This window comes from Homo sapiens, chromosome 7 (genome assembly GCF_000001405.40).
Source record: "Homo sapiens chromosome 7, GRCh38.p14 Primary Assembly".
NCBI lineage: Eukaryota > Metazoa > Chordata > Mammalia > Primates > Hominidae > Homo > Homo sapiens.
Window position 1 is genome coordinate 132,506,780 of NC_000007.14, and position 26,956 is coordinate 132,533,735.

General features: G+C 46.5%; 1 protein-coding gene across 11 annotated transcripts in view; it reads right to left on the reverse strand.

The window, feature by feature from the left end:
• The window catches only part of PLXNA4 (plexin A4), a 525,349-nt gene that overhangs the window by 383,440 nt on the left and 114,953 nt on the right, over positions 1 to 26,956 (reverse strand). For 10 of the 11 annotated variants that reach the window (XR_927546.3, XM_017012779.1, NM_020911.2 and 7 more), the window contains one exon: positions 727 to 2,000. Coding sequence is in view for 10 of the 11 variants with exons in the window: in XM_017012779.1 (XP_016868268.1) it covers positions 727 to 1,914 (1,188 nt within the window). In the remaining variant the exon portion in view is untranslated. The remainder of the gene's footprint in view (positions 1 to 726; positions 2,001 to 26,956) is intronic. The other variant, NM_001393897.1, reaches the window with a different exon arrangement.

Sequence of the window (26,956 nt, forward strand, 5' to 3'; positions counted from 1 at the left end):
CCCACAGCTCTCCCATCATCCCATGCTGCTCTCCGGCTGCTTCCTGACTTTCTCACATGTCTCTTCCAAGGCACTGTGCACACAGAAGATGCTCAATAAACACAATTTGTCCCTTCCCATCCCTTTTCTAAGTTAGCTTTGCTTTCTCTATGTGTTCACTGCACTCTTACCTGACTGTGCTCTCATTTTAGCATTTCCTAAAGACATACAAAGGGCTAAAAACACACCTCTCCTGAAATTCCATATCTATCCCAAATGTAGGATGACTCCTCACATTCTCCTCTCCTTCTACCATATGGTTTTTATTCTAAGCTCCCAGGAAAGTTATTTGCAGGCTTGGTGAGTACAAAGGGCATGTACGTGTCTTGCACTACAGCACACTGTGATCTAGACTCCAGCCATGCCCGGTCCCTACGACATCCATTTGACACAATTCCTACCTATTTCCAGCACTCCCCGTCATAACTAGTGAGCCAATATGAGGCAGAGAAAAGTACACTGATGGGAATTTATGTTTCAGCTCCCACTCTGACTCTTATACATTCAATGTCATAGTTGCAGAATATTTGGTGACACTCTGGGTCCAATGAGACTCAGAGATGGGATGGGATATACTCACTTCATCTGCAAAAGGGGAAGGATGATACACATCCCATGGGGGCTACAGGCTGGGGTTCTCATCCTACACTCCCAACCATCCCAGCGCGCAGCCCTCCCTGTACTCACCGCACTGCTGCAGGGGATGTCCTTCACCTTGAGCCAGGCCAGGTCCAGCGTGCCCTCGCCCCGGTAACAAGACTGCAGCCGCTCCTTAATGCGGTCATTTATCTGCTTCAAGATGAAGATGCACAGGGCCGACTCATCCAGGGATTTCATTTTCCGCTTCTGGCCCTTGGAGAAGACGGTGAAGAGCAGGTCATCATCTGGATGGACTCCAAGGGTCCTGCCAAGCACGGCCCCCGCTTTGGACAGGTAGGCAGCCTGCAGCAGGCGGTACTCCACCCCACTGCGCTCACAGCCAATGGGCACCTCTACATAGGAGTTGAAGGCTGTGTCCTCCTTGCAAAGCCTCACGAGCTTGGATGTATACACCTGCTCCTTGGTGGTGGAGCCTGGTGGAGACACCATCTCAGGTTGGAGGGTCAAAAAGTAGACAAAGTTGCCACTGCTAAAACCATAGACATAGTAGATATCAAAGTCAGGGATGATGGTGAAGGTGTCCGAAGGGATCTTAATCATCGAGGCCACGAACTCATCATGGAAGACGTACGCGAACATGCCATCCGCCTCAGAGTTCTTGGTCAGTTTCCGGCTGGAGATGGTGGGAAAATACTCGGGCTTCCCATCCACTGCCGTGGCAATGAACAGCTTGTCATCCAGGTTGCTGTAGGAGACGATCACTCCAAAGACTGAGCCGCTCTCGTTGACACCTGACAGATAGTGCTCCTTCTTATGATAAGGCTCCCCCAGCTTGAAGAGGTCCTCCAGCCTCAGCAGCTTGCAGATGCCTTGGTACAGGCTCCCACAGGCAATCAGCCTGTTCTCCTTGTAGTCTATGAGGAGCATCTTGTTGACATTGTTGGTGGTGGTCAGGGGCTCATTGCAGGTCTGGACGATGCGGGGTGGGTAACACTTGGGGTTGTCCTCGTCCGGCCCTGTCTCATGCGTCACCAAGACCTTCAGGTCGCTGGAGAGCTTGTAAATCCGATTGACGGCCCCCAAGTAAATGTGTCCTGTCCTCTCATCCACCACCAGGTGATTGAAACCCTCGGCGGGCTCTCCTCGGAATGTGACAAATGACCGCTGCTTCTGGGACAGCGGGGCTGGCTGCCGGGTGAGCAAAGTGGAGGAGCCCATGCCCACCATGAGGAGGTGGGAGAGAAGGCAGGTCCAGTTCCAGGGCATGGCTTTCATGGCAGAGGCGGGTCCCAGTGGCACAGCAGCACTCAGGCACAGTCGTCCCCTCAGAGGGCCAGGACTCAGCAATGCAGTCTCCCCTACTGGAGAAAGGGAAGACAATGAGCTGGATAACAATGCCAGTGGCTTCATTTCACCCCACAGCTTGTCTGCCTGGACTTTCAAAATGTTCTGCACACACTGAGCAGAACTGCACTGGGGGGTGCTGGAGGCTGACTGAGTCAACCCCCACCACGGGCATGTGACACAGTCAGAGCCGGGTGGCAGCAGCCCCAGGAGGACACATCAGTAACGATAATGGTGGTGATGATAATGACATGATAATAGCAGTGATGATGATGATGATCATGATTAACAGCCATTATCTACTGAGTGCCTGAATTTGTGTCAGACACTGTCCAGCACTGTCACCCGGGTCAGGTGCCACCAGCAGGCAGCATCCGCAAAGACTGGCTGGAGGAGAAGAGGGAGGGAGGGAGGGAGGGAGGGAGGAAGGGCAGGAGGCGGGGCTGCCTGCACTGGCTGCAAGCTTTGTCCGGTGTTCCCCACAGCAGGCCTCTGCACACAGTTTCTCCGTCTCCAGGCTCTGTGAACCACCTCCTGCTGGACCCCATCTGGCCGTAGAGGTGGTAACAGAGACCTCACTATTACTATCCACCCATACTACATTGCCCCTTAAAGAGCCACACTTTTATGAATAGCCCCTTTATTAACCTTTTCTCAAAGGACCAAATTTGTATGTGCTGTCTATTACCTGCTGGGACCCTGATTGGTAGACCTCCGAAGTACATCCTATTGTAGCCACATTTTATAGCTAAGGAAAGCAAGCTTAGGGAAGTCATGTAACTTGCATAGCTATAAGTGGTAGAGGTAGCTCCAAATATGAGTAGTGTAAATGTGCACAGGTTCGCAATCTTAACTGCTAAACCATCTCAGTTCACCCCAACCTTGCACAGTTGGGGCTGTACCGTGGTCCCTGTCCCATGCAGCAGAAGAATTAAGGTTGATCCCTTCTCGGGGCTGTCCATTACAGCCACTACCTCCAGTTCTCTGTGTCTGTACCTACTACTGCAGGAGAAACTTTCCTCTGTGCCTCCTCTGCTGGATGAAGAGGCCAAATTAAAAACCCACATCCTCAATCTCGTCACACTGCAGCTGCAACCAGGTCCTCTGGGTTCACTGCCCAACCCTGAGCCCTAATGTTATTTTAACAAGGCAGATCTTGGCTTCCTCCCCTAGCAGGGCCTCCTCTGAGAGGTTTTCATTAAAGGGAGAGAAAAAATGCTTTAAGAAGCAGTCAAGCAAATAAATAAACAAATAAATACAAAACTCCCCGAGGAACAAGATCACTCCCCATCCTGAGGGTCTCTTTCTATTCAAGGTGCTTCCTGCATGTGTTCCCATTGGACAGCTTTATGTTTCTTCCAGTTCGAGAGAATTCAGGGCAGGAATTGCCAACATCCTATCTGGGGGCATCTCAGCTCTGTGGAATTTTTCTCATTCACCCCCAAACACCTCAAAAGTAGAGAATGAGAAGAGGTAGATCACTAAGCAATGGAAAATTCCCCAGCAGGGAGCAAACGCTAGGTCAGATGGAAACCAAGAGAAGAAGGAAGAAAACCAAATAAAGACTTTGCATTGTCAGCCAGCATCCTAATGAAAAGCACAGGCCTTCTCCAGTCAATATCAGAGGAGGAAGACTGGTTAGTGGAACACACCACAACCAAGAGCAGTGCTGAAAGCCAAGGGCCTTCATTCATTCACCCATGTGGCAAATGTTTGCTCAGAACACACACAAAATGTGCAAGACACTGTGGGGCCCAAGGAGCAGATCCTCAACGAATGCGTAGTCAAATCAGGCCGATACCACCAGAACCTGAACTGATACGCACGACAAAAAGTCACATGGCATACAAGAGAGTGCTTTGAAAGTTCCTAGGAGGAGGAAGACTTCTAACTTAGGGTGAGAGAGGGCAAGGAGCAGGCTGCAGGAGGCCTTGGGGAGGGCATGGAATTTGGGCTGAGCTGTGAACTTCAAGAAGACAGTCAGAGCACGAAGGGAAAGACCTTCTAGGGGAGGGGTCTACATAGCAGAAGCATGGGCATATCACATGAGGGTGTGTACAAGGAAGAGTACGTCTGGAGAACATAGTTCATGAATGAATCAGGTGGAAGATGAGGCTGAAAAGAGAGAGCTTCAGCCTTGCCAGGATGTCACTGGGAAGTTGAGACTGAAATGCACAGTGTTGAAGACAGAAATGAAATTGTAGAGGAAAAGAGCAAAGGCCCCCAGAGAGGAGCCTCTCCCTTTCCATTTAGCCTTAGCCTTTGCAGAAGGAGAGTTTGGAGCTGAGGGTCTGTGAACTCCACAGGGCAGGGCTGGGTCTGTCTTGCTCGTCAACACATTCACAGCTGCACATATAGAGGAGGCTCAACAACTGTTTCTTGACTGGCAGAAAGAGGGGCTGGAAGCATAGACGAATACCAATATCTGTGGAGTATTTACTGCACCCCAGAGCCCATGCAAATACTTTCACATAGCTTGGCTCACATAATCCTCACCACTGTTCCCTGGGATCAGAATTGTCTTATTCCTATTTCAGGTGAGGAAACTTTAGCTCTGCAAGGACACTGGTTAAGATGTAGCAGAACTGGGTTTGAAGTCCAGGTTTCAATCAATGCAAAATCCATACTTTTCTAGAAATGCACATTTCCAGAGCCCAGAAGATAGAGCACTTAGAAGCCCTTGTTAACTCATGTAAGCCCCAAACAGAAATCCTGGGATATCACCTACCAGTATCATGAGAAAAACAAAGTCCTCTCTGACCTTCAGGGGCTAAGCTGGTAGATAACACCGATCAGGTGAGTTCTGTGGTTTACCTCTGAAAGTATTAATGACTGTAAAGCAGCAGCTGCACAGAGCCTCTGCCTAGCACAGTTAAGTGCTTAGGAAATGATAGTTGCTGTCGTTGTTATCGTTAGCAAGATTAAAATAGGATTAGAAAGATTAGGATTATGATAATGAGATGGTTCCTGGTGGTACATCTCAAGATGAGTGATGAAGAGTCAAGATGGTTCACCTTGAATTGCTTGTGCAAATTCAAATATCAAAGAAGAATCTATAAGTTTTTGATCTAAAAGAGATAATCCAGCTTAGTGATTCCCAATCCCTGATTTTAGAGACAAGGAAGTTGAAATCCAAGAGGTCAGATGAAATTGCAAGAGGTCACACATTGAGTTGAAGACAGTGTAAGACTGGGTCTCACACTGTCCATCCCATGCTCTTTCCACCACCCCGGCCTCTCTTCTGACTTTATGTGAATTCACTCCAGCAGCTGCTTCCAGCCTTTGTCTGAAAGAGACTGCTCTTTGGGCACCATATGCTCTGCCGGCTAACAGGGCCCTCAAAACGTCTCTGCCAACAACCAAATTCCAGCAGGGCTGATAATCCCCCTTCCAGACAGGCAGGTGCAGGTCGGGGCTCCGCCACCAACTTTTCTGAGGAGAGAACTTCGCACAGTCTCTGTATCACAACCTGCCGTATGCTGGGGAATGTGTGCCTACCCCACGACCTGCCTTACTGTACATACACATGGATCCATGGCCAATCAGCAGCTCTCTAGTCTGCAAGAGGTGAGATGAAGAATCCTATAATTACGAATTTACTGAGCAGAAAGGTGCCATGGCTCATTCTGCATCTTCTATTAGGCACTGAAAGGAGACACAGTTATGCATCTCAAACACTTATCACCCTCATCTGGGGATGGTGAGATTACTACACCCAGAGAGGAGGGGGGCCCACAGAAACAATAACATGTACTGGGAATAACCAGCCTTTCATTTTACACACTAAGAAAGGGACTGATTAGGAAACAAATAAGAGAGAAATGGAAGAGAAAAGGGGAAAATAAGGATGTGAGCTCCAGCTTGCCTCACCAAAGACCCCACCAGGAACCACCACAGAGGTGACACCCCGCCGAGCTTGGGACCCACAGATATGCAGAGCCACCAGCCCCCTGTCTCCCTGAGCTGTCTAAGGCTGCTCCAATCTGGCAAAGCAAGAGTTTCCAGGGGGGTTTCCCTTCCAGGATGTCAATTCTTGTAAGCGGTAACCCCAACCTAGGAAACCCCCACCCCAATATCAGAGCCTACCCACCATTTCGCTCTCAAGTCACCATTTAGCTAGTTTCAAAACCAAGTATTAGAAATTACATTCAGCCCAACTCTGATTCTTAAAGGCAAGTAATGGGACCAAATAACCTTCACGATTGCCCCAAAGGATTCATCGAACTACGTAGAGTGGGTAAGAAGGCAGGAGAACTGAAAGACCCCGTAACCCAACTCAAACATGCTACAGTTTTCCCTTCTTTGAAATCAGATTTTAATTTTGAGTAGTCTCAGGGGAGATGGGACTCATTTATAGAAGCTGATCATCATTTTGATTAAAGAAATTGGGGTTGTCTTTGTTTTAGGCAGCAAGTTTCAAAGAACTGAAACTAATTTTCATGAAATAGCACCATCCTCTCAGATTCCTGAGTGGTAGAGAGGAAAGTTATTATAGAGTCGTTTAAAATAGCAATTACCCTGTGAAATTACTTTAGAGTTTACAAAGTGTTTTCATGGATATTACCTTGTTCTGAATTTCTTGTTCATGACAACCCTGTTAGGTAGATGAGGTATTTATAAGTATGCCTTCTTTAAAGATAAGGAAACCAAGGCATGAACAGGTACAGCTCTTGGCTAAGGTCACACATAGTCACGTTGGGCATTGGAGAGCTGAGCTCTTCAGGCCTCACTCAGTTATTCACAATATATTCCCTGGCCCCTTGGACAGAGTCCTGGTCCTCAGACCTTTTATTATGGGGTAATAGGATTCTCAGAAAATGTGCCCTAAGATGGCATTTCAAAATTCACGTCACAACACACCATGAATTAGGTGAGTCACAGGTGTTTTTTGTTTTAGTTTTTGTTTTGTTTTGTTTTGTTTTGTTTTTGAGATGGAGTCACCATCTGTCACCCAGGCTAGAGTGCAGTGGCACAATCTAGGCTCACTGCAACTTCCACCTCCCAGGGGTTCAAGTGATTCTCCTGCCTCAGCCTCCCAAGTAGCTAGGATTACAGGTGCCCACCACCATGCCTGGCTAATTTTTGTACTTTTAGTAGAGATGGGGTTTCACCATGTTGGGTCAGGCTAGTCTTGAAGTCCTGACTTCAAGTGATCTGCCTGCCTCAGCCTCCCAAAGTGCTGGGATTATGGGCATGAGCCACTGTACCTGGCCAGGTACTCTTCTTAATGAAATAAAATAGAAGGGAAAATACTAGTATGTCACATAGAAAAGATAAGCACTGTTTGGTGAGACTTTTTTTTTTTTTGAGACAGAGTCTCACTCTGTTGCCCAGGCTAGAGTGCAGTGGTGTGATCTCAGCTCACTGCAAGCTCTGCCTCCTGGGTTCATGCCATTCTCCTACCTCAGCCTCCCCAGTAGCTAGGACTACAGGCGCCCGCCACCATGCTTGGCTAATTTTTTGTATTTTTAGTAGAGACGGGGTTTCACCATGTTAGCCAGGATGGTCTCGATCTCCTGACCTCATGATCCGCCCGCCTCGGCCTCCCAAAGTGCTGGGATTACAGGCATGAGCCACTGTGCCTGGCCGGTGAGACTTTTGTTTTACCCACTATATAGCAAACTACATATTGAATGTGATGTAAATATGTGTGATGTAACTGGGTCCCTGGGATGGTTAATTTTATTTGTCAACTTGGCTGGGCCACGGTGCCCAGATAGTTGGTCAAACATTATTCTGGAAGTTTCTGGGAGGGTGTCTTGGGATAAGATTAACATTTAAATCAGTCTGCTTTGAGTAAAGCAGACTGCCCTCTATAATGTGGGTGGGCCTCATGTAATCAGTTGAAGGTCATGAATAGAACAAAAGACTGGCCTCCTCTGAGCAAGAGGGAACTCCACCAGCAGATGGCCTTTGGACTTGGGTACAATATTGGCTCTTCTCTAAGTCTCCCATCTACAAGCCTACCCTACAGGTTTTGAACTTGGTGCCTCCAAAATTGTGTGAGCCAATTCCTTAAATCAATCTCTGTGTCTCTATGCACACACACACACACACACACACACATCCTCTTGGTTCTGTTTTCTTTGAAGAAGCCCAACTAATATAGTCATGGTCAAAAAAATTTGAAACACACTTTCAGAGACGGTGCATACCTGTTGTTTTTGCTGTCATTCATTTATCCTCTGGGCATCTGTGCCTTTGCCCAAACACTTCTGCTGGAATTGACTCCACCTCTGGTTCAAAGCCTGAGCCACTCAGCACAGAACGGGGGTCGGGAGGGCATAGTGATTGGATCAGGAATGAGAAACTGGTTAAATCAGGTCTCCGACAAGCAACAGGCTTTGGATAGGGATACTAGGGGAGAAAGTTCTAGCTCTTCCACCAGATGTAACCTTGGAGAGGCAAGGGCCTAAGAACCGCTAGTGCCATCTTGTAATCACAGGGGTGAGAGCAGGGGACAGGAGCCTGGAAGAATGAAGCCAAAGTACTGAGAAGAGCAGAACTAAGCCAAAGGATAGAGAGTACTGGGTCCCAGGCCTGGCGACATCCTATAAATGTCTCAATTGTGTCCACTGAAGCCAGCTCTATGCCTGTACTTTCCGGTTACGCAAGTCAAAAAAAATTTTTCCCCTTTTGCAGAAGCCAGTTTGGGTTCGGTTTTCTGGCACTTGCTGATGTAAGGATCCTAACCTATACACAGAAAAATCCCAAAGAGTACAGTGTCTCCCACCACAACCTCTCTAATACACTATTTTTCCATGGGATCAAGTGAGCAAGCCAAACAGATCTGTGCCTTCCACTGCCCACAGAGATAAACTATGGTTTTACAGATAGCGAGGCACAATCCCAGGTGATGTTCGAACGTGTGTGCACGTGTATGTACCAACTTTCAGAATCAAACACAACACTTCCCTATCTGCTGAGCATTTGCCTTAGGAGCTGCACCAGCAGAGCTCTTGGGAAGTCTTCACCAATTCATGCTTCCGGGCCCTGAGTTAGACTCATTGTTCAAATGAAACCTTCTCTGATCAAGCCACTGGTCTAAGATGCCCCTACTATATATTAGTGCAGGAACCAGTGCCACCAGAGTCTCACATTTTACAAACTCTGTTATATTTGTCCATTGATGCTGTCTCCTAGCATAAAAATATGAGCTCCTTGAGGACAAGGATTATATATTGCCCCTCTTTTCTCCAGTTCCAAGCTCAGAGCCTGAAACACAGTAGGTGTATAATAGATGTTTGGAAACACGTGAATGAATGAATGAATGAATGCTCCATAGCAGAGTATATGAGATGGCAGTGGGTATCATGTACAGCTGAAGTACAAAGTAAATCTTGGTGCTTCAAGTAAATCTTTGAGCCAGTCAATTCAAACAGGGACCAACCTAAAAAACTGGTTGTACCCTGTTCTAAACCAGGGTTTATAAATACTTAAAATACTCCATTTTGTCCTTTTATTTATTTATTTATTTATTTATTTATTTATTTATTTATTTGTATTTAAAGGTAAAGCTCTTTTTTAATTTTTATTAGGACATGAGTTCAAATGCATCAGAGAAACTACGTCTTTCGTATATGATTTACATGGAGACCAACCGGTCCACCAGCTGGAATATCATAAAAAGCTGTCTTGTGTTAGCAAATTGGACTTTGAGAACCACCATCCTATGCAGCAAAGGAAATCAGTATGGACCTGGTTGAACAGAAGAAGCTGAGCCTGAAAATAAAATTGCAGCATGGAAAACAGACAACAACAGAAAACAGCCACAATGCAGGAGATGCCAGTTGCTAGAAGTCAGCATGCACTCCTGTATTCAGCCAACGACTATTGATGGAGCACATACCACATGATGAGTTCTGGGCTGGGTGCAAAGGATAGATACATTCCAGAGCAAAAAACAGTGTCCCTGCCAGGAGTGGTGACTCATGCCTGTAATCCTAGCACTTTGGAAGGCCGAGGCAGGTGGATCACTTGAGGTCAGGAGTTTGAGACCAGCCTAGCCAATATAGTGAAACCCTGTCTCTACTAAAAAACAATTAGCTGGGCATGGTGGCACATGCCTGTAGTCCCAGCTACTCGGGAGGCTGAGGCAGGAGAATCACTTGAGCTCAGGAGGCAGAGGTTGCAGCGGTGAGCCGAGATTGTGCCACTGCACTCCAACCTGGGTGACAGAGCAAGACTCTACCTCAAACAAACAAACAAACAAAACCAGTGTCCCTGCTCTCCAGGGGCTGAGGGTCTTCTAGAGGCCCCTCTAGCTGTCCCACTGGCAAGCTCTGCAGATCCTCCCCTTCCCAGCCTCTATTAGAAACCCAGAACTTCCTACAACACTGTACAACAGGTCATTTAATCTCAATTGTGCAGGTGGATTGGGAAGAGGAAGCTAACTTTTCACAAATAACATGCGCTTCCCTATGCGTGAGGCTGCTGGTATGAAGTCAGTGAGAGGTGGCCATCAGCGATGGATGACATTTCCCAGCCTCTCCATTTCCACATGGTATCCAGGTGTGACTGTGTGAATAGCAAGGTCATGGTGACATTTCCATGCCAAAGCAGGGAAGAAATAAGTGTGTTTTCTCTACGGTTTCTTTCACCACCCAGCTGGATAAAGAGGACCCTGAGGCCCTATAGGATGGTGGAGCCTCAAGATGAAAGATTCGTGCACCCACCAGGAACATCAGACAAGAAAGAAACCTTTACTGTGATAATACTGAAACTGTGGATTTGTGTGTGACAACAGTTAACCTCACCCTAACTCACAGGCAGAAACACAGCAAGCTCACTGCATCTCAGAGCTGGGATTCAAACGTAATGCTGGGGGGCTCCAGGCCTCTGTTCTTTGTGGTGCATCAGGCTCTGGCCCTAGGAAGAGTTCTCTTTAGATGTCAGCAGCCCCCTCCCTTGTTTCCAAAGCCAGATTGCAAGTGGGTAAGCCCAGAGATAGAGGAGATGGCCAAGCTAACATATACAGGATAGAGAAATCTTCCTGCTCAATGGCCATTTCCAAGTTTGGGGCTCAGGGAGGTAAGTGTGTGTGCAGCTGAGGGCAGTGAGGGAGTTGGGGAGCAGCAACAGGCCTCATTTCCATTTCATCTAAGAAACTTCAAACACTTATTGATCCATGCAAACAAAATGGACACATGCTATTTGTAGATTTCTACTCCAATTTGTAATCCGTGCATTCAACATAGCGTCTTCAGTAAGGTCAGTATTTTTTCATGTCTGTATTTTTTTTACTTTAAACTCTTGGTTTCTAGAAGTGGGAGCCATGAATTATTTTACAACTTTCCCTGGAGAATTCTATTTACACCCATCTAGGGCCCAATCATGCAGCTCGCTACAGTCTGGGGCCCATGACAGACAACTGACCCCATGTACTTGGCCACCTCACTGCAGCTCCATTCGTCCCGGCCTTCACTGTCCCCTTGCCCCTTGTTGCTAGCTATCTCAGAAATGAGTGTCACATTCATCAAAGGAAAGAGCCAGAGGGTAGGGTTGACACAGCAAAACCCATCACTACCACTAGGGGGAAAAGTCAAGTCAAAGCAACTGTCTTCCCAAGAGAAGGTCACTGCTGGCTTTGGGCAGTCTCAGTGTGGGTGGGGCCTGGTGGGGTCAGCTCAGCCACAACACAGCCTTAGTCCAGAAAGCAGCAGTCCAGCAGGGGCCATGGGAGCCCTCCTTCCGGTGTGCTTCCCTCTGCCTCTGCTTCTCTTCTGAGAGATGGGAACTGTGAAATTGATGACTGGTGGGAGGGCTGGAGAAAAGTATAAAAGATGGGGAAGAGGGAGCGATGGAGGGCCAGGCACTGATGTAGAGTCTTGGCGCCACCAGGCAACCAGCCCGGTCCCAGGGAAATCCAGCACCAAGCTCAGCTACGCGGGGCTCCCTTCATCCTTACTTCCTAGTTTATTAAAAGGGGATGAGGAGAAGTGATTACCATGGACAGAGCCTTTGGACCCAGCCTGGAAGAAGCCTCTGCAGGAGGCTGAGCCTGTGAGCCTCTCCATTCAGAGATCATGTCCCAGCCGGACCTCTGAGATGTTTATACATGGTTTCCACGCCCTCCTTCCTTTCCCTCCCCCAGGCCTCCTTGTCCTTGGCCTGGAGGGTGTTCCCTCAGGGTACAAAACCACGTCTCCCTGGCCAAGTCTGCCGTTCCCAGTAGAGTCGAGCAGGAGCTCCAGCCGAGGCCCAGGCAGCCCCATGTGAAACTCTCCATTACCACGTGGAGATCGCCTTGAGATTCCAGGCACTGTGCCTTGGGACAGTCACTAGGCAATGGCTTTCTTTACTCCAAGTGTGGCAGCAAGGCTTTAAAAACACAGCACTCTCAATAGGATCCTGGCTTGGGGAGGATAGAATCCTAAACTTCTTTCCAGCATCTCACTTAAAGAAACAGGCCAGCCAGGAATTTGGAGTCAGATGCCCCAGCTGGAGTTGGTGTCAAGACCTGCTCTGCAAAATGGCACAGGCTGGCACCTATGTGGCCACTGTCTCCTACCCAGTCCATGAGGAACACTCTATCCAGGGTCTGTCCAGGGGTACTGGCTCCTGGTCTTCAAAGGGGACCCAATGGCCTCTGAGTGCACAGAAATGGGGGGACACCATGGGAAGTTGCTAAGCTGTAGCAAAGGGAGACTTGCTGTCACGTCTGCTGCCCCAAGACCTGAGTGGACCTTGGGAACCACAGAAAAGGGGCTTGGGGGTCACCACAGGCTGGGGATAGTCACCTCTCCAGTAATCCCTGTCTCGTGCATGTGGCCTGAGGCTTGTCCAGCTGACATTTTCACCAGGAGAGGAGGCTCACTGCATCCCTGCCTGCCACTCTAACCTACACTCCCTGTAGCCTCTCTAGCTGCTCTGGCCTGGCCCCAGTAGGCAAAGCCACATTCAGTGGTCTTCACCCAAATGAGCTCCTTGCTCTCCTTTCATGGTAAAGGGAAGAAGTGGGATGTTTTTGGCTCACAGCCAGTCATGCATCAGCCAGTGTCACCCATAAAAGCCTCCTCTCAGAATTGCCATGGCCAAGGATACTATTGGCATCAGGTCATTCTAACCAGACACGTCCTGCTAAGTGACAGCCTTTCTTTCTTGTTGCCTCAGTTTCCCCATCTGTAAAATGGCGTTTCTGGAAATAGGATGGGGAAGAGAGATCACCCAGTTTCTTCTTGTGCTAAATCCAGAAGTGAGAGTGAAATGTTGTAGGCTTCACAGAACACAGGCTATCATTGAGGTTGGGAAGTTTCCACAAACAGCCTTTGTGGAGGTGCAGGGCAGAGCCACGTGATGTGATGATTACAACACCCAGGGGTGGTGTTCACTGGGTGACAAAAAGCTGGTGCTGAAGTTTCTCTCCAAAGACTCTTTGCATCTTTGCTTAAGTTGCCTTTTTAGCTGCCTGAATCTAGATTGTGGAGAGCCTCAGGAATGCCTGCCAGGGTTGAATTCCACAGTCTGCCCTCAGAGAACTCAGGATACTCATCTGTTAAGTGGATGTAAGTCACACTCTTTGGAGTCTATTTTCTCCCTTAGATAAAAAGGACCAAGCACATTCTTAACAGCTCAGGTGTTGGTCCATTTCACTGAGCCTGACAAGCAAGTTGATCTTTCTGGGAAAGGCCTTTGCTTCTTCCGGCCTCTGAGGACCTGGGTCCGCAGCAGGAGGCCAGCAGGAGGCCTCCAAGCATTGAAACTGCCCCACCCACCCAAGGGCTTAATTTAGACCCCTCGACAGGTTGACTCTGCCAGCATGATCTGACCCATTTCATTTCCTACATGTAGCAAGTAAGAAAAAGAAATGGAAATATTCCCTTCTGCAGACTGGTGTGAAATCTCTAGCTAGACTTTTCTAACTGTAAAAACAGTCAGTGGGCCTAGAAATGATAATACATGCAAGGTTTTGGAAAAACCAAGCCGAGAGTCCATACACTCAGATCCTTGGACCTCAGCATCTGTCCGGCCGCCCCTCCACTCCTAAAAGCCTGACCACCCCCACCAGCCCCTGTCACAGCTGCCCCAACAGCTCAGCCACCCACCTTCTGGCCCCACAGAGTCTTCACTCGAGGAAGCCCATAATCCCACCAAACATTGGCACTGTGGGGGAGCAGGCTATTTGGGGCTCACTCAGCCAAATGGCAGGGCTTCTGTTGTCACCAACATCTAGTGGGAGTGCCTCACTCCAGGCCCCTTTTGTCCCTCTACCCCCTCTCTTCTTTCTCAATTCCCCGAAAAATCAGGAAGTGAACAGTTGTCTCCCTTGCTGGTCTATATTCATGTAATTAGTGCTATTTAATTCCACGATGAGCCAAAGCTCATAAAATACAAAACATATTTCAGCTGTGTGCTGAAAATCTTGGCAGAAATCTCCACTGCAGCCGGAAGCTGAACGGAGATATATTTGCTCCTTGAAAAAAAAAAAAAAAAAAAAAAAATTCAGAATGACGGCAACAAAGTTTTGGGGCCAGGCACTACTACCTGAGAATATGTAAGGGGGTAGCAGAATAGAGGATTTTAGGACATAAAGTTTGGAAATAATCTCTATCACCATGACAACACTAAATTTAAGAAATATTTAGTATAGATCAAGTAACAAGTGTAATATATAGTGTACATGCCAGAAGAACATGTCATACATCATAAGGAGGTTGTTTTGGTCCCACTCATTCCTTACTCCCAAGAATTAACACGTGCTTTAAGGATTTGGGTCCCAGTCTCCGAGTCATCCTGCCTTTCCCATTGGGCACACACCTGCAAGTCAAATGGCCAAGAAGATGTGCAGTTTCTGGCAATGATTCCAAATTAACTAACACATCCTCATCTCCCAGCTCTTTTTCCCCTGACCCCTGGACTGTGATGAAACCTCACCCTATCTCTGTGTTTGTGCCAGCAACACCTGGGCAAGGAACAGGAAGTCTCATCCCCTTCCTCCCCAACTTCACAAAACCGGGCACAGAAGGGTGAAGCACCGGGGACTCCATCCTCTCAGGTGCCCATGACTGTAAAGTAGATGTGTCCTCAACAAGCCGACCTCTACCTCTGAAATCAACACCAGGTCCTAACTTGCCAGGGCTGCTGACATAACAGATTCCCTCCCCTGGCACCCCTATGACTTGGTCATGCCCTCTTCCTTTTTCAGGTGACAGGAATACAGAAAGGAGCATGTTGGTAGAGGGCCCAGGGCAGGGCCTGGCAGAGGGGAGATTCATGTTGGATGCTACTGACATCCCCCTTTCAGGACCTGCTCAGAAGCTGTGTCCATGGGGAAAGAGAGGCCATGAGGTGGACTGGGGTGTGATAAAGGGTCAGATCCACTGCAAGACCCAGGAGGCCTTTCAGTAGACTCAGCAGCTCTTCTGAATCCACTCTGTGGATCAGTTCCACGGACACAGACACAGCATGCTCCATGCAGAGGGGACAACACCTGCCAGCTCCCACTGCCCTCCTACTCTTATGCCACCCAAAACTCCATCATAAACACAACCATCACCACCTCTCATTGGTGGAATGCTTTGCCTTCTCTAAGCTCCTTCATAGGCAATAAGCCACTCATGGCTCCAAACATATATGACCACCCCAACCCAACCCATTAGGATTATTGCTGAGGCATGACTTTGGATGTCAGAGAATCTCATTAACTTTCCCAAAGTCATGCCTTTCCTCTCTCTATGCCTCAGATCTTCAGTTGATCCAATACTTTCCTAATAAACTCCAAAGCTGGCTGGGTGTGTTGACTCACGCCTGTAATCCCAGCACTTTAGGATGCCAAGGCAGGCAGACTGCTGCTTGAGCCCAGGAGTTCGAGATTAGCCTGGGCAATTTGGTGAAGCCCCATTTCTACAAAAAATACAAAAATTAGCCAGGCATGGTGGCACATACCTGCATTTCCAGCTACTCAGGAGGCTAAGGCAGGAAGATCACTTGTGCCTAGGAGGCAGAGGTTGCAGCAAGCTGAGATTGTGCCACTGCACTCCAGCCTGGGTGGCAGAGGAAGACTCTGGCTCAAAATAAATAAATAAACAAACCCCAAAGCCACTCACCAGAGTCATCACTGGGGATTGTATAGCAAAAGTGGGAAGGGAAATTTGTCTAGAAGGCCCATGATAAATGCACAGATGTTAACTGGGAAGAGAGAAAAGCCTTCTGACTTGTTCTGGCCTGTCACCTTGATAGGCCTTGAAAACTTGTGCACAATGGAGCTCAAGGAGGTGGCACCATTGGGCAAGCTCTCGGGGGCCAAGGGCTTGTCAGAAGAAACTAACCAGCAGGCAGGGAAGATGGCCCATGTCTTCATGCATTCGTTCACCAACACTTATTCAGCTCCCTAGACTCTACACCGGGAACCTACATTCTGGGGGTGCAGCAATGAGTAAGACAACAAGGTTTTTGGTCTCACAGAGTTTACATTTAATAGGGAGGATACACAATAAACAAGAAAAATAACTATTTTCAGATAGTGTTAAGACCTAAAAGAAAAAAGAAGCAAAGTCATTTGCTACAAGATAACTGTTGCAAGCGTGACCTCAGAGAGACCAACCCTGGCTTCTCTAGTTGGAATAGCCATGGTTTGTATCTCTGAGGTGACACTTGCAGGGGGACTGAATGGCCAGGGGGAGCCAGCCATGCAAAGATTTGGGAGAGGAGCTTTCTAGGCCAAAGGAAATGTAAATGCAAAGACACTGAAGCAGACTTGGCAAGGAAAAGGCAGAAGGCCGACGGGCTGGAAGGCCCAGAAGAGCACGGAAGGATGGGTGATGGGGTGGGAGAGAAGAGAGACAGCAGATGCCGGAGGGTATATTCCAAATGGCAGGAAAAGCCATGAAAAACTTCTAAGCAAGGGAATGACATGGTCAGGGTCTATGGCTAGCAAGCTCAGTCTGGCTGCTGTGTAGAGAATGGTTTTTGGGTGGAAGAGGAGTTCACTGAGGAGTGACAGCAGCCTGACTCAGGTGACAGTGTCAGAAAGCGAGACTGGTTGCTCCAGCAGGGGTTGCTGGTGATGTGGAAACAAGGGGGGCGGAAGAGAGGGACTTAGTCACACCTCCTTGATTTTTGGATTGAGGATCTGGGTGGGTGCTGGTACCATTTAACTGATATGGGGAAATCAGGGCAGTGGAGCAGAGAAGGCAAGAGTTCTTTTTAGGATGTCAAAGGTGAGGTTGTCTAGAGGGCCCACCTGGCCCAGGTTGATGCTCAAGAGAACAATCAAGGGAGGTGACTCACAGAGAACCACACTGTGTGTTCTGCGGAAGGCATCTCATGTAAATGCTCCTAGGAGGATGCTAATGTCATCCTTATTCTCTGGAAGACAAGCTGATTCTCAATAACTACAACGAAGTGAGGCTAAGATATCAACCTAACCCTGCAAAAAGCCCCATAGAGATGGGGGCCTTGTAACTGTGACGGCCCCTGGGTAGATGCAGAGATTGTACCAAGGGTCCTTGGCTGGAAGAACGGGATGTCAATGAAAGAATTTTACTTAGGAACCTAGAATTTGATGCTTATTTTTTTGTGAAGGAAGAACTACCACAGCAAAACTTGATTTTACCAAAGGGAAATTACTGATGCTTATGCAGTACAGGCTACTTTATAAACTTCACAAATTCCCAACCAAAGTTAATAACATTAAAGGATTGAAAATGGAAAAGGGGAAACAGCATTGATCATATACTTCTTAGCAAGGAGCCCTCTCTTCTCTCAAGTCATAAAGAGTGCCCTGGGTTCCCCATTATATAAAACAGTGAAGGGCTAAAGGCCAGCCTGAAGGAAATTAGGCTGAAATCAAAATAACTCACACTAAGAGCAAGACTTTTTTTTGTTGTTGTTGAGATGGAGTCTCACTCTGTCACCCAGGCTGGAGTGCAGTGGCATGATCTCGGCTCACTACAACCTCTGCCTCCCGGGTTCATGCCATTCTCCTGCCTCAGCCTCCTGAGTAGCTCGGTGCCCATCACCACGCCCAGCTAATTTTTTATATTTTTAGTAGAGACGGGGTTTCACTGTGTTAGCCAGGATGGTATCGATCTCCTGACCTCGTGATCCACCCGCCTCGGCCTCCCAAAGTCCTGGGATTACAGGCATGAGCCATTGTGCCTGGCAAGACTTTTTTCAAAAAAAACATATTAACATGTTTAAAACTCGTGATAAAATATACATTACATAAAAGTTACAATCTTCACAACTTTTAAGCGTACAGTTCAGTGACATTAAGTATACCCATGTCATGGTGCAACCATCACTGCCATCCAGAGCCATTTCATCTGCCCAAACTGAAACCCTGTACCCATCAAATACCAACTCTCCATCCCCTCACCCCCTGCCCCTGACAACCTCCATTCTACATTCTATGTCTATGAATTTAACTATCCTAGGTATCTCATATGAGTGGGATCATTTAGTATTTTTCCTTTGTGTCTAGCTGCTTTCACCTAGCTTAATGTCCTCAAGGTTCATTCATGTGGTAACATGTAGACAACATGGTGTCTTTTTGTTTTGTTTTTGAGAGACTCGGTCTCGCTGTCACCGAGGCTGGCATGCAGTGGCATAATCACGGCTCACTGCAGCCTCTAACACTTGGACTCAAACAATCCTCCCACCTCAGCCTTCTGGGTAGCTGGGACAGCATGCACAGGCTGCTACACCAGGCTAATTTTTAAAATTTTTGTAGAGTTGATTCTCAGTATATTGCCCAGGCTGGTCTCAAATTCCTGGACTCCAACAATCCTCCCACCTCAGTCTCACAAAATGCTGGGATTACAGGCATGAAAGATGGTTTTTAATAAAGATCCATTTTGTGGGGGGCACCAGAAACTTCTGGGTTTTAAGTAACTCTGGTTTACAGTTGCCAGTTCATGGACACAGGTGAGAAAGGGAAGACCTAGAGAAAACTTGTGAACAAATGCCTGTCAAGCCTTTTTGGGTGAAAACATGTCCCTTTCACCAACCTGCATCTCCAGACCCACAGGATTATAATAATATAGCACTGAGAAGAACACCAGTCCCTCCCAAGGCTCTGCCCTGAAAGGGTCCCCTATTAAGCAAGTATGAGCAACACTGCATCACCCTCCTGGGGAGCCATGATGCATGTCAGCTCACTAAAAGTCCTCAGAGGTGGTGCTTTGATAAGCAAACCCATGGAAGGTTTGTGAAACAGGGTTTCTCAAACTTGTTTGACCAAGGAAGTTTTTCTTGCTTAAACCCTATTATGACCTCTGGGAACACTGTTCCATGGTACACACCTTGGGAAATGCTGGCATGTTGGTTTCCATTCCTCAAGGCACTTTCACATCTATTTTCTCACTGAGTCTTTATAAAAACCCTGTCAAGTAAATTGAGAAACTTAGAGCAATTTGCTTCACTTATTGAAAAGAAAACCCAAGCTCTCAAGATTTAGTACTGGAAGGAAAATCTCTAGGTGAGGAGAAGCAACGGGTGCGAGTGGTATAGACTGCACTCCTTGATATTCCCTTCCCACCAAAGGCTCATGCATGGAACACATTGCATCCTCCATCACCATGGCCCCATGGAGACATAGCAGCCCTCCCGTTAATCTCCTGGCAGATGCCTGCACGCCTGTGACAACTGCCTTCTCCTGATCCTCTTAGCACAGATGAGAGAGGTCACAATTTTCTCAGATTATAAGAAATCTGACAGGAAAACAAATGTAGAGAAAGGAGGAAGGATAAAATGAGTCTATCGGAACAAAGTGTAGGTTTCAGTTTCATCCCCTCCTAGCTCATTCCCAGACTCAAAGGCCCCGCCAACCCACACACCCAAATTGCTGATTTGACTTCTAAGGTGCCCTGCCTGAATGGTTCACTTCCTTGCTGCCTGTAGTGCATGTACTCCTGGCGCCCCTGTTGGGGCTGCTGTTTTATTTGGGGATAATGACTCTTCTGTCCTGCCCTATGGGGTAAGGCTATGCTTGTGAGGGTTGGACATGGCTTCTCAAGAAGGAGGTGAACATTTATGGTGGCAGTCATCCAGGTGGCTCTCAAATAGGTCACTAGGACTGATGGCACACCTTCACAGGTAGGACAGGGCCCTCCCATCCCTCTTTGGTGCATAGTCTTCATGCCTAAACTTTAAGGGGTCTTGAGGGTCTGGCTAGTGGTCAAAGACAGACCCTGCCCCACGGTGGCACAATGGGTGTTAAACAGGGCCACTCTACAAGAGACACTGATGAAGCAAAATAAACCATAACTTGGAAACCCCATTGACTTGTTATAGTAACTGTCTCTATTTATTTCACTTTTATCACCCCCAGGCCCCGGGTTAAATCCTGTTAAATGTCCAGCCTTATGTTAGCCATGCTCTTAGAAGTTAATGGACAGTTGTAAATCCAAACTTAGGATGTAGATTATTGGGAAGATGCATTCCGTTCTCTGGACCCAATGTGGCCAAAGCTGCAGTTACTGGCAGAAGAAACTGAAATCTTTAGACAAGAGCTGAGGCTGCAGGACCTCAGCACCTCCTCAAGTAGACGTTCTTCCTCCATTGCCAAGTCTAGAGTCTGAGTTTTATTTTGCTCAGCAAGGTAAGAGTTACCTTACTGAGAAAATCTTGCCATCCACCTCTCAGGAGCTACTCTCCCAGATACCCAACTGCCTTCAAAACTTGTAGGCATTTTAGGCAGGAATTACCATCCCCATTGAGCAGATGAGGAAAGTGAAGTTTAAAGAGGCTAAATGCCTTTCTCCACGTCGTAGAGATTTTCCCAGGAAACTACAGTGAGTAAGGGCAGCACAATGTGTCACAGTGTGAAACAGACTCAAAAAAAAAAAAAAAAAAAAAAAGAATTGGAAAGAAATGAAGCAACCTCTAGTGAACGGACTAACAAGATTCAGTCCAAAGTGAAAAATCAATGACGCAAAGGCTCAGCCTGCAAAAATCGATGAGGCAACGGACCAATAACCTGTATTCCCAGCTGAATTGACACCCGACTGCATTACAGTCATATTTGTATTTGCCCAGACCTATTCCCCATGCCACCTGCCAGCATACTGCCCACATGCCAGACTCAACCTCCACGCACGTGCCCACCTGATCCAATCTGAAGAGCATCTTCCAACAGCCCTGAGAGGTAACTGATAGAGCCTGCACACAGAGGCACGAGAACAGAGCCCCTGGAACAAGGAGATAAGGTGACCTTCTGAGAGTTAATTTAGTAACAATCAAGACATCTGCATGGAAGCACCAGATATCTGCAGAAACCACCTTACAAGGGCAAGGTGTCCCCAGGTCTCCACTGAAAAAGCAGGGAAGTGAAGCCCAATCAGGGTGACAAGGTTTCTTCCCCAGGACAAGAATATAACTTAAGAAGGCTATAATCTAAACAGCTTGAATAAAGAAGGTATTAACCAACTCGGGATGGTCGGCTCGGAGAACAGAGTAAGCAGCATGAGTGCTTGGTTTTTAATCTCATGCCAGCCAGGGAGGGAGAGTTGTGGTTGACTCACCAGGAAGGTGAACTCCCAGGAGGCGCAGCAGTTGGACACGAGGCTTCTCCATGGTGCGGACTACATTGTTCTCAAGAACACCCAGCCTCCTAGTCCCGATCCATGCTCCCCCAAGGAGCAGCCAACCCACCAATGTGTCTTTCTTACTGGAATATTCCCAACTGTATTCAGGAGTTCACCCTCCACACATGGCCGCACCCCAGAAGCAGGCAGCCATGATTGGAATAAGCCAATGATTCCCAGCATCAACCAACAGCTGTGATTGGATTAAGCCAGTCATGCTGGTCTCCTTCTCCCTGCCAGTGATGAGTTTAGGAACAGCCATGCCACCCAAGCCTGATGAATGGGACTGAATGAGAAGCCTGCCAGGGGCTTCAGGAATATAATTTTTTTGCTCTTTAAAAGAGACTCATGTGAGGGAGCACCTCTCTTCCTTACTTGTCCACCTGTTTACAATGCCTGGAACTGTGGCAGACTTCTTGTGCCCATGAGAGAGGCACCACTGATGTGCCTGCAATGGCTGAACAGAGAGAAGGGAAGTGCCAGGAGTAGGATGATGCAGGGGAGCTGCTGAATGACCAGTTTTAGAGCCGCCCAACTTGGGTCTTCTTGTGTGAGGCCACCATTCACTTATGGTTCACACTATTACTGGGTCCTACCAGAAGGCGAAAGCATCTCACTGACTCACCCAGTAATCCCTCAGGCTACAGCTGTGCTCGCTGATGATACTTTGCTGCCATGAAGACTATGAAGGGTGTCTAGGACAGCAACAGCCATTCTTTCATTAGCTGGATAAGAGCAGACTCCAGCAATGAATAAGATGGCATTTTATCTTAAATATCAATATCCTTGGGACTAGAATGAGTTAGTCCTGAGAATCTGTTCATCTCTGGGTACACACACCAGCAAAGCCAGCCCCAGTCCATAATAACCCCACCCTGGAAGGCCCTACCTGGCAGCCACTGGCTGCCTCCCATTGCAGGTTGGTGTCACCTTGTTTAACAGCAATCAAAGGGAATAACAGAAATAGCAGAAAACACCTGCTACCTTCTCATCCCCACTCTACCTCATATCTCCTCAAATCCTCCCTACTCTGCATACTTATTTTCATGTCTTTAGATGAGCTATATCTTTCTTACCCACCTCGTGGCATTTTGGAAAGAATAAAATTAAATCAATATCAAAAATACAAGGTGTTACAGAAATCATGGAATTTGGGACATGAAGGCTGTGTTGAAAATCTTTTCAACTTACTATGCATTGGATTCACTGGGAAAGTTTTTTTAAAAACACAGATTTCAGCACCCCACCCCCAGTAACTCTGGTCTAAAGGGTCTAGGGCAGACATCAATATTTTTTAAAAGCTTCCCAAATAGGTATTCTTTTTTTTTTTTTTTTGAGACGGAGTCTTGCTCCGTCGCCCAGGCTGGAGTGCAGTGGTGCGATCTCGGCTCACTGCAAGCTCCACCTCCTGGGTCCATGTCATTCTCCTGCCTCAGCCTCCCAAGTAGCTGGGACTACAGGTGCCTGCCACCATGCCCGGCTAATTTTTTGTATTTTTAGTAGAGACGGGGTTTCACCATGTTAGCCAGGATGGTCTCGATCTCCAGACCTCGTGATCCGCCTGCCTCGGCCTCCCAAAGTGCTGGGATTACAGGCGTGAGCCACCGCGCCTGGCCCCCCTAATGGATATTCTTATATGCAGCCAGAGTGGATGAGAACCACTGATAGGCAAACCCTGTCACGTGCAGATGAGGAAGCAGTCCCAGGGTTCAAAATCACGCATCTGCTGGAAAGAAAGCCAGGGCCCTTGGGGTCTGATCTCTTGAGCCCCAGACTGGGTATCTTTTCATCATGCTTCTGTGTCAACTCCAGGGTATTTAGATCATTATTATTAATAGACAGAGAGAGGAAGCACAGGAGGAAGACTCACCAAGGGCCATGAGGAAACTTCTAGGGATGATGGATATGCTCATTACCTTGATTATAGTGATGGCTTCACAGGTCAAAACTTATTCAACTGTCTAAACATGCAGTTTATGGAATATCAATTATATCTCAACAAAACTGTATTTAAAAATAGACCCAAAAGGTAACAAACATAAAGAGACAACATATTTGCAAATCAACTATCTGATAAGAGTCTAATATCCAGAATATATAAAGAATTTCTACAACTCAACAACAAACAGATAAACCAGTTTGAAAATGAGCAAATGACTTAAAGAGATGTTTCTCCAAAGAAGATATATAAATGGTCAATCTGCATTTCATTAGCCATTAGGGAAATGCAAATCAAAACTACAACAAAATACAATTTCACATCCACTAGAATGGCTATAATCAAGAAAACAGAAAGTAACAAGTATTGGTGAAGATGTGGAAAAATGGGAACTCTTGGATACTGCTGGTGAAAGTGTAAAATGGTTTATTCAGCTACTGTGGAAAACTATTTGATGGTTCCTCAAAAAGCTAAACATAGAATTACCACATGATCCAGCAATTCCACTCCTAAGTATATTCCAAAACAGAAATTCAGACAGATATTTGTACAACAATGTTCATTGCAGACAACGTTCAAGAGTTAAAAGATAGAAACAACCCAAGTGTCCATCAACAGATGAACCAAGAAACAAAATGTGATATATCCTTACAATGGAATATTATTCGGCCATATAAAGAATGAAGTTTTGATATGTCTAAATGAATGAACCTTAAAAATATTATGCTAAGTGAAATAAGCCAGACATAAAAGGACAAATATTGTAAGAATCTACTTATCTGAATCTCAAGAATAGGCAAATTCCTACACAGAAAGTAGAACAGCGGTTACCCAGAGCTGGGAGGAGAAGAGAATGGGGAGTTATTAATGGCAACAGAGTTTCAGTTGGGGAAGATGACAAAGTTCTGCAGATGGATGACAACTTTAGTTACACAACATCATGAGTGTAATTAATGCCACTGAATTTTACGCTTAAAATGGTTAAAATGGAAAATTTTATGTTTTATGTACTCTACCACCACAAGAATTTTTAAATACAGACACACTGTAGTCCTCTGCCATCCAACTCTCACAATTACTGTCTGTATTTGTAAAACATGTTACAGATTAATTAATAACAAGGAAAAGGCTTATGAAACTATAATGCACTAAGAACTCTACATGAATTACCTATTCTATTTCTCTTAATAGTCTATAAGGTAGATATTATTATGATCTTTATTTTATAGACAAGAAAACTGAGTCACAGAGAGCAGGAAATCTGTCCCAGACCACAAAGTTAGTATGTAATAGAATAGTGTTTTTCATCTGGTAACTTCCTAGAAATGCAAATTCTCAGACTTCACTCCAGACCTAAGGAAGCTGTGTTTAGACAAGACTGCCAGGTGATTCTGAGGCATGGTCAAGTTTTAGAACCGCTGTAATAGAGCCAAAATCGAGTTCAGTTAAGAACCTGAACTTTCGAGTGCTGTGACAAGCAGCAGTCATTCTTAACAAAGAGCAGTGGTTCTCTCACTTAACGATGCATCAGAATCACCTGAGTGCATTCTTGCCTGGAGTGATTCTCACCTGGAGCCCATCTTGAGTAGGCTGATTTGGTGGGTCTTGGGAAGGGCTTGGTAATTTGCATTCTTAACAAGTTTCCAGGTAACACTCATAGCCCAGGGAGGACACTTTGAGAATCACTAATATACAGAATCTCATTATTATCCACATTTTACAGATGCGGTAACTCAAAATCCGACATTGTAAATCCTAGAACCACAAAAGGGGTTAGTTATTGGCTGGGCCTAGAGCCTCAGTCCAAAGTTTTTTTCACTACAGCATAAAGCCATCACCCCAGTGTTCCAGATGCTTCCAGGTGTCAACTTGGCACAACCTCCCTTAAAGCCAACACAGGTTGAAGACATAAAAGACGTTTTTACCCATTCCAACAAACTGGCATTAGAGTGATCTAAAAAACTAACTGGCACTTGTGCCAAAGAAACGCAGTAAGAAGACAGAAAAAGGAAGGGACAATAATAACTAGAGCCTAGTTTGGGGGTCAGGACTCTGTCACAGTGGAATCTAAAACCTGACCATGCTTCAGAATCACTTGGTGGCCTTTTATAAACACAGGTTCCACAGGTCTGGAGTGGGACATGAGAGTTTGCATTTCTAGAAAGTTTCCAGGTACAAATGCGTTGATGCAGTTGGGAAGAACTAGAATATGGGTCACTTCCTCTTTATTCTTATGAAATCAGTTGCCTCTTATGTAAGTGAAAGAAAATTTTCTTTCCTGCCTTGTTTGAAAAAATATGACATCATACCATCCTTTATGCACAATGCATTATCCTTCATATGTTTTATTACCATCACCTGTAATGTTCTATACATCTCCAGATTCTCCTCTTTCCAAACCATTTGTCGTCTCTGATCATGCTACTCTGCTACTCGAGAATCTTCGATGGCTCCCTATTGCCTACACAGTGAGGGACAGACTTAGCATTGTATTCAAAGACCTCCATCATCTGACTTCATGGTTTCCACTCTAATAGAACTACTCTCTATTGCCCATGCATGTCCTGTGCTTTCCTGTTGTCATGCCTTCACCCAGTTGTTCCCTTTACCTAAGATTCCTTTTTCCTCCTTCCTTCCCCATCTCTACACTTACAAATGTGACCTGAGACTAACTATTTATTCCCTCTAGGCCTCAGTTTTCTTAAGCATAAAACAGAGATGACAGTAGGATCTTCCTTGTAGGTTGTGATGAGGAATAAGTAGAGCAATCAGTGGAACTGGTTGCCACCACCACAAATCCCTCCTAACTTCCAAACCGAAGGGATTTCTGTCCTTCCTTTAATTTCCAGAATAATAGAACCTGTATACACATTATCATTATCATGTTCTACTTTGCACTTGCCATAATGTTTATACCTGTATTCCCTTTGCAGCTAAGGAAACCCCATTAAGGTGAAGATATGCTTCTTATTTTCAGTTGCATGCACAGTACTCAGCACAGTATAAACACCCACTCAAAGTAGGAGGAACAAATGATCAGGACTGTTTTACCTTAAATTGCTTCCTAGAGCTGCCCTTGCAGTGCTCTGAGGTCCCATCATAGGTAGCCAAATCCTTGGGTGGAACATAAACTCAGGAACTGGAGAGGTGCAAGGCCCCCAACATGAAAAGAATTAACTTGTCTCCAGACATCACCTGTTCAAAGGGTTCCCTGGAATCCACAGAGGCCAGCCTTAGCCCAATTTTCCAACCCAAGCACCTTCTAATAATTCAAGGATTCCCATCCACATCAGGACTCCCCTGTGCTTACTTAAAACAAAAAACCTTGGCTCCACAAGAAAACCATTTTTCTCTATTTGATGCTCTGGGCCTCTGTTCTCCTTTTGCTCTGCTAGTCTAAGAAACTGCAGCTGCCCTGCCCACCTCGGGGAGCTCTGATCAGTGGAAGCCGGGCTTCTTGAGCACACAGCCTGCAGGACCAGAGAGCTCTGCTCTCCCTTCTGTGCCT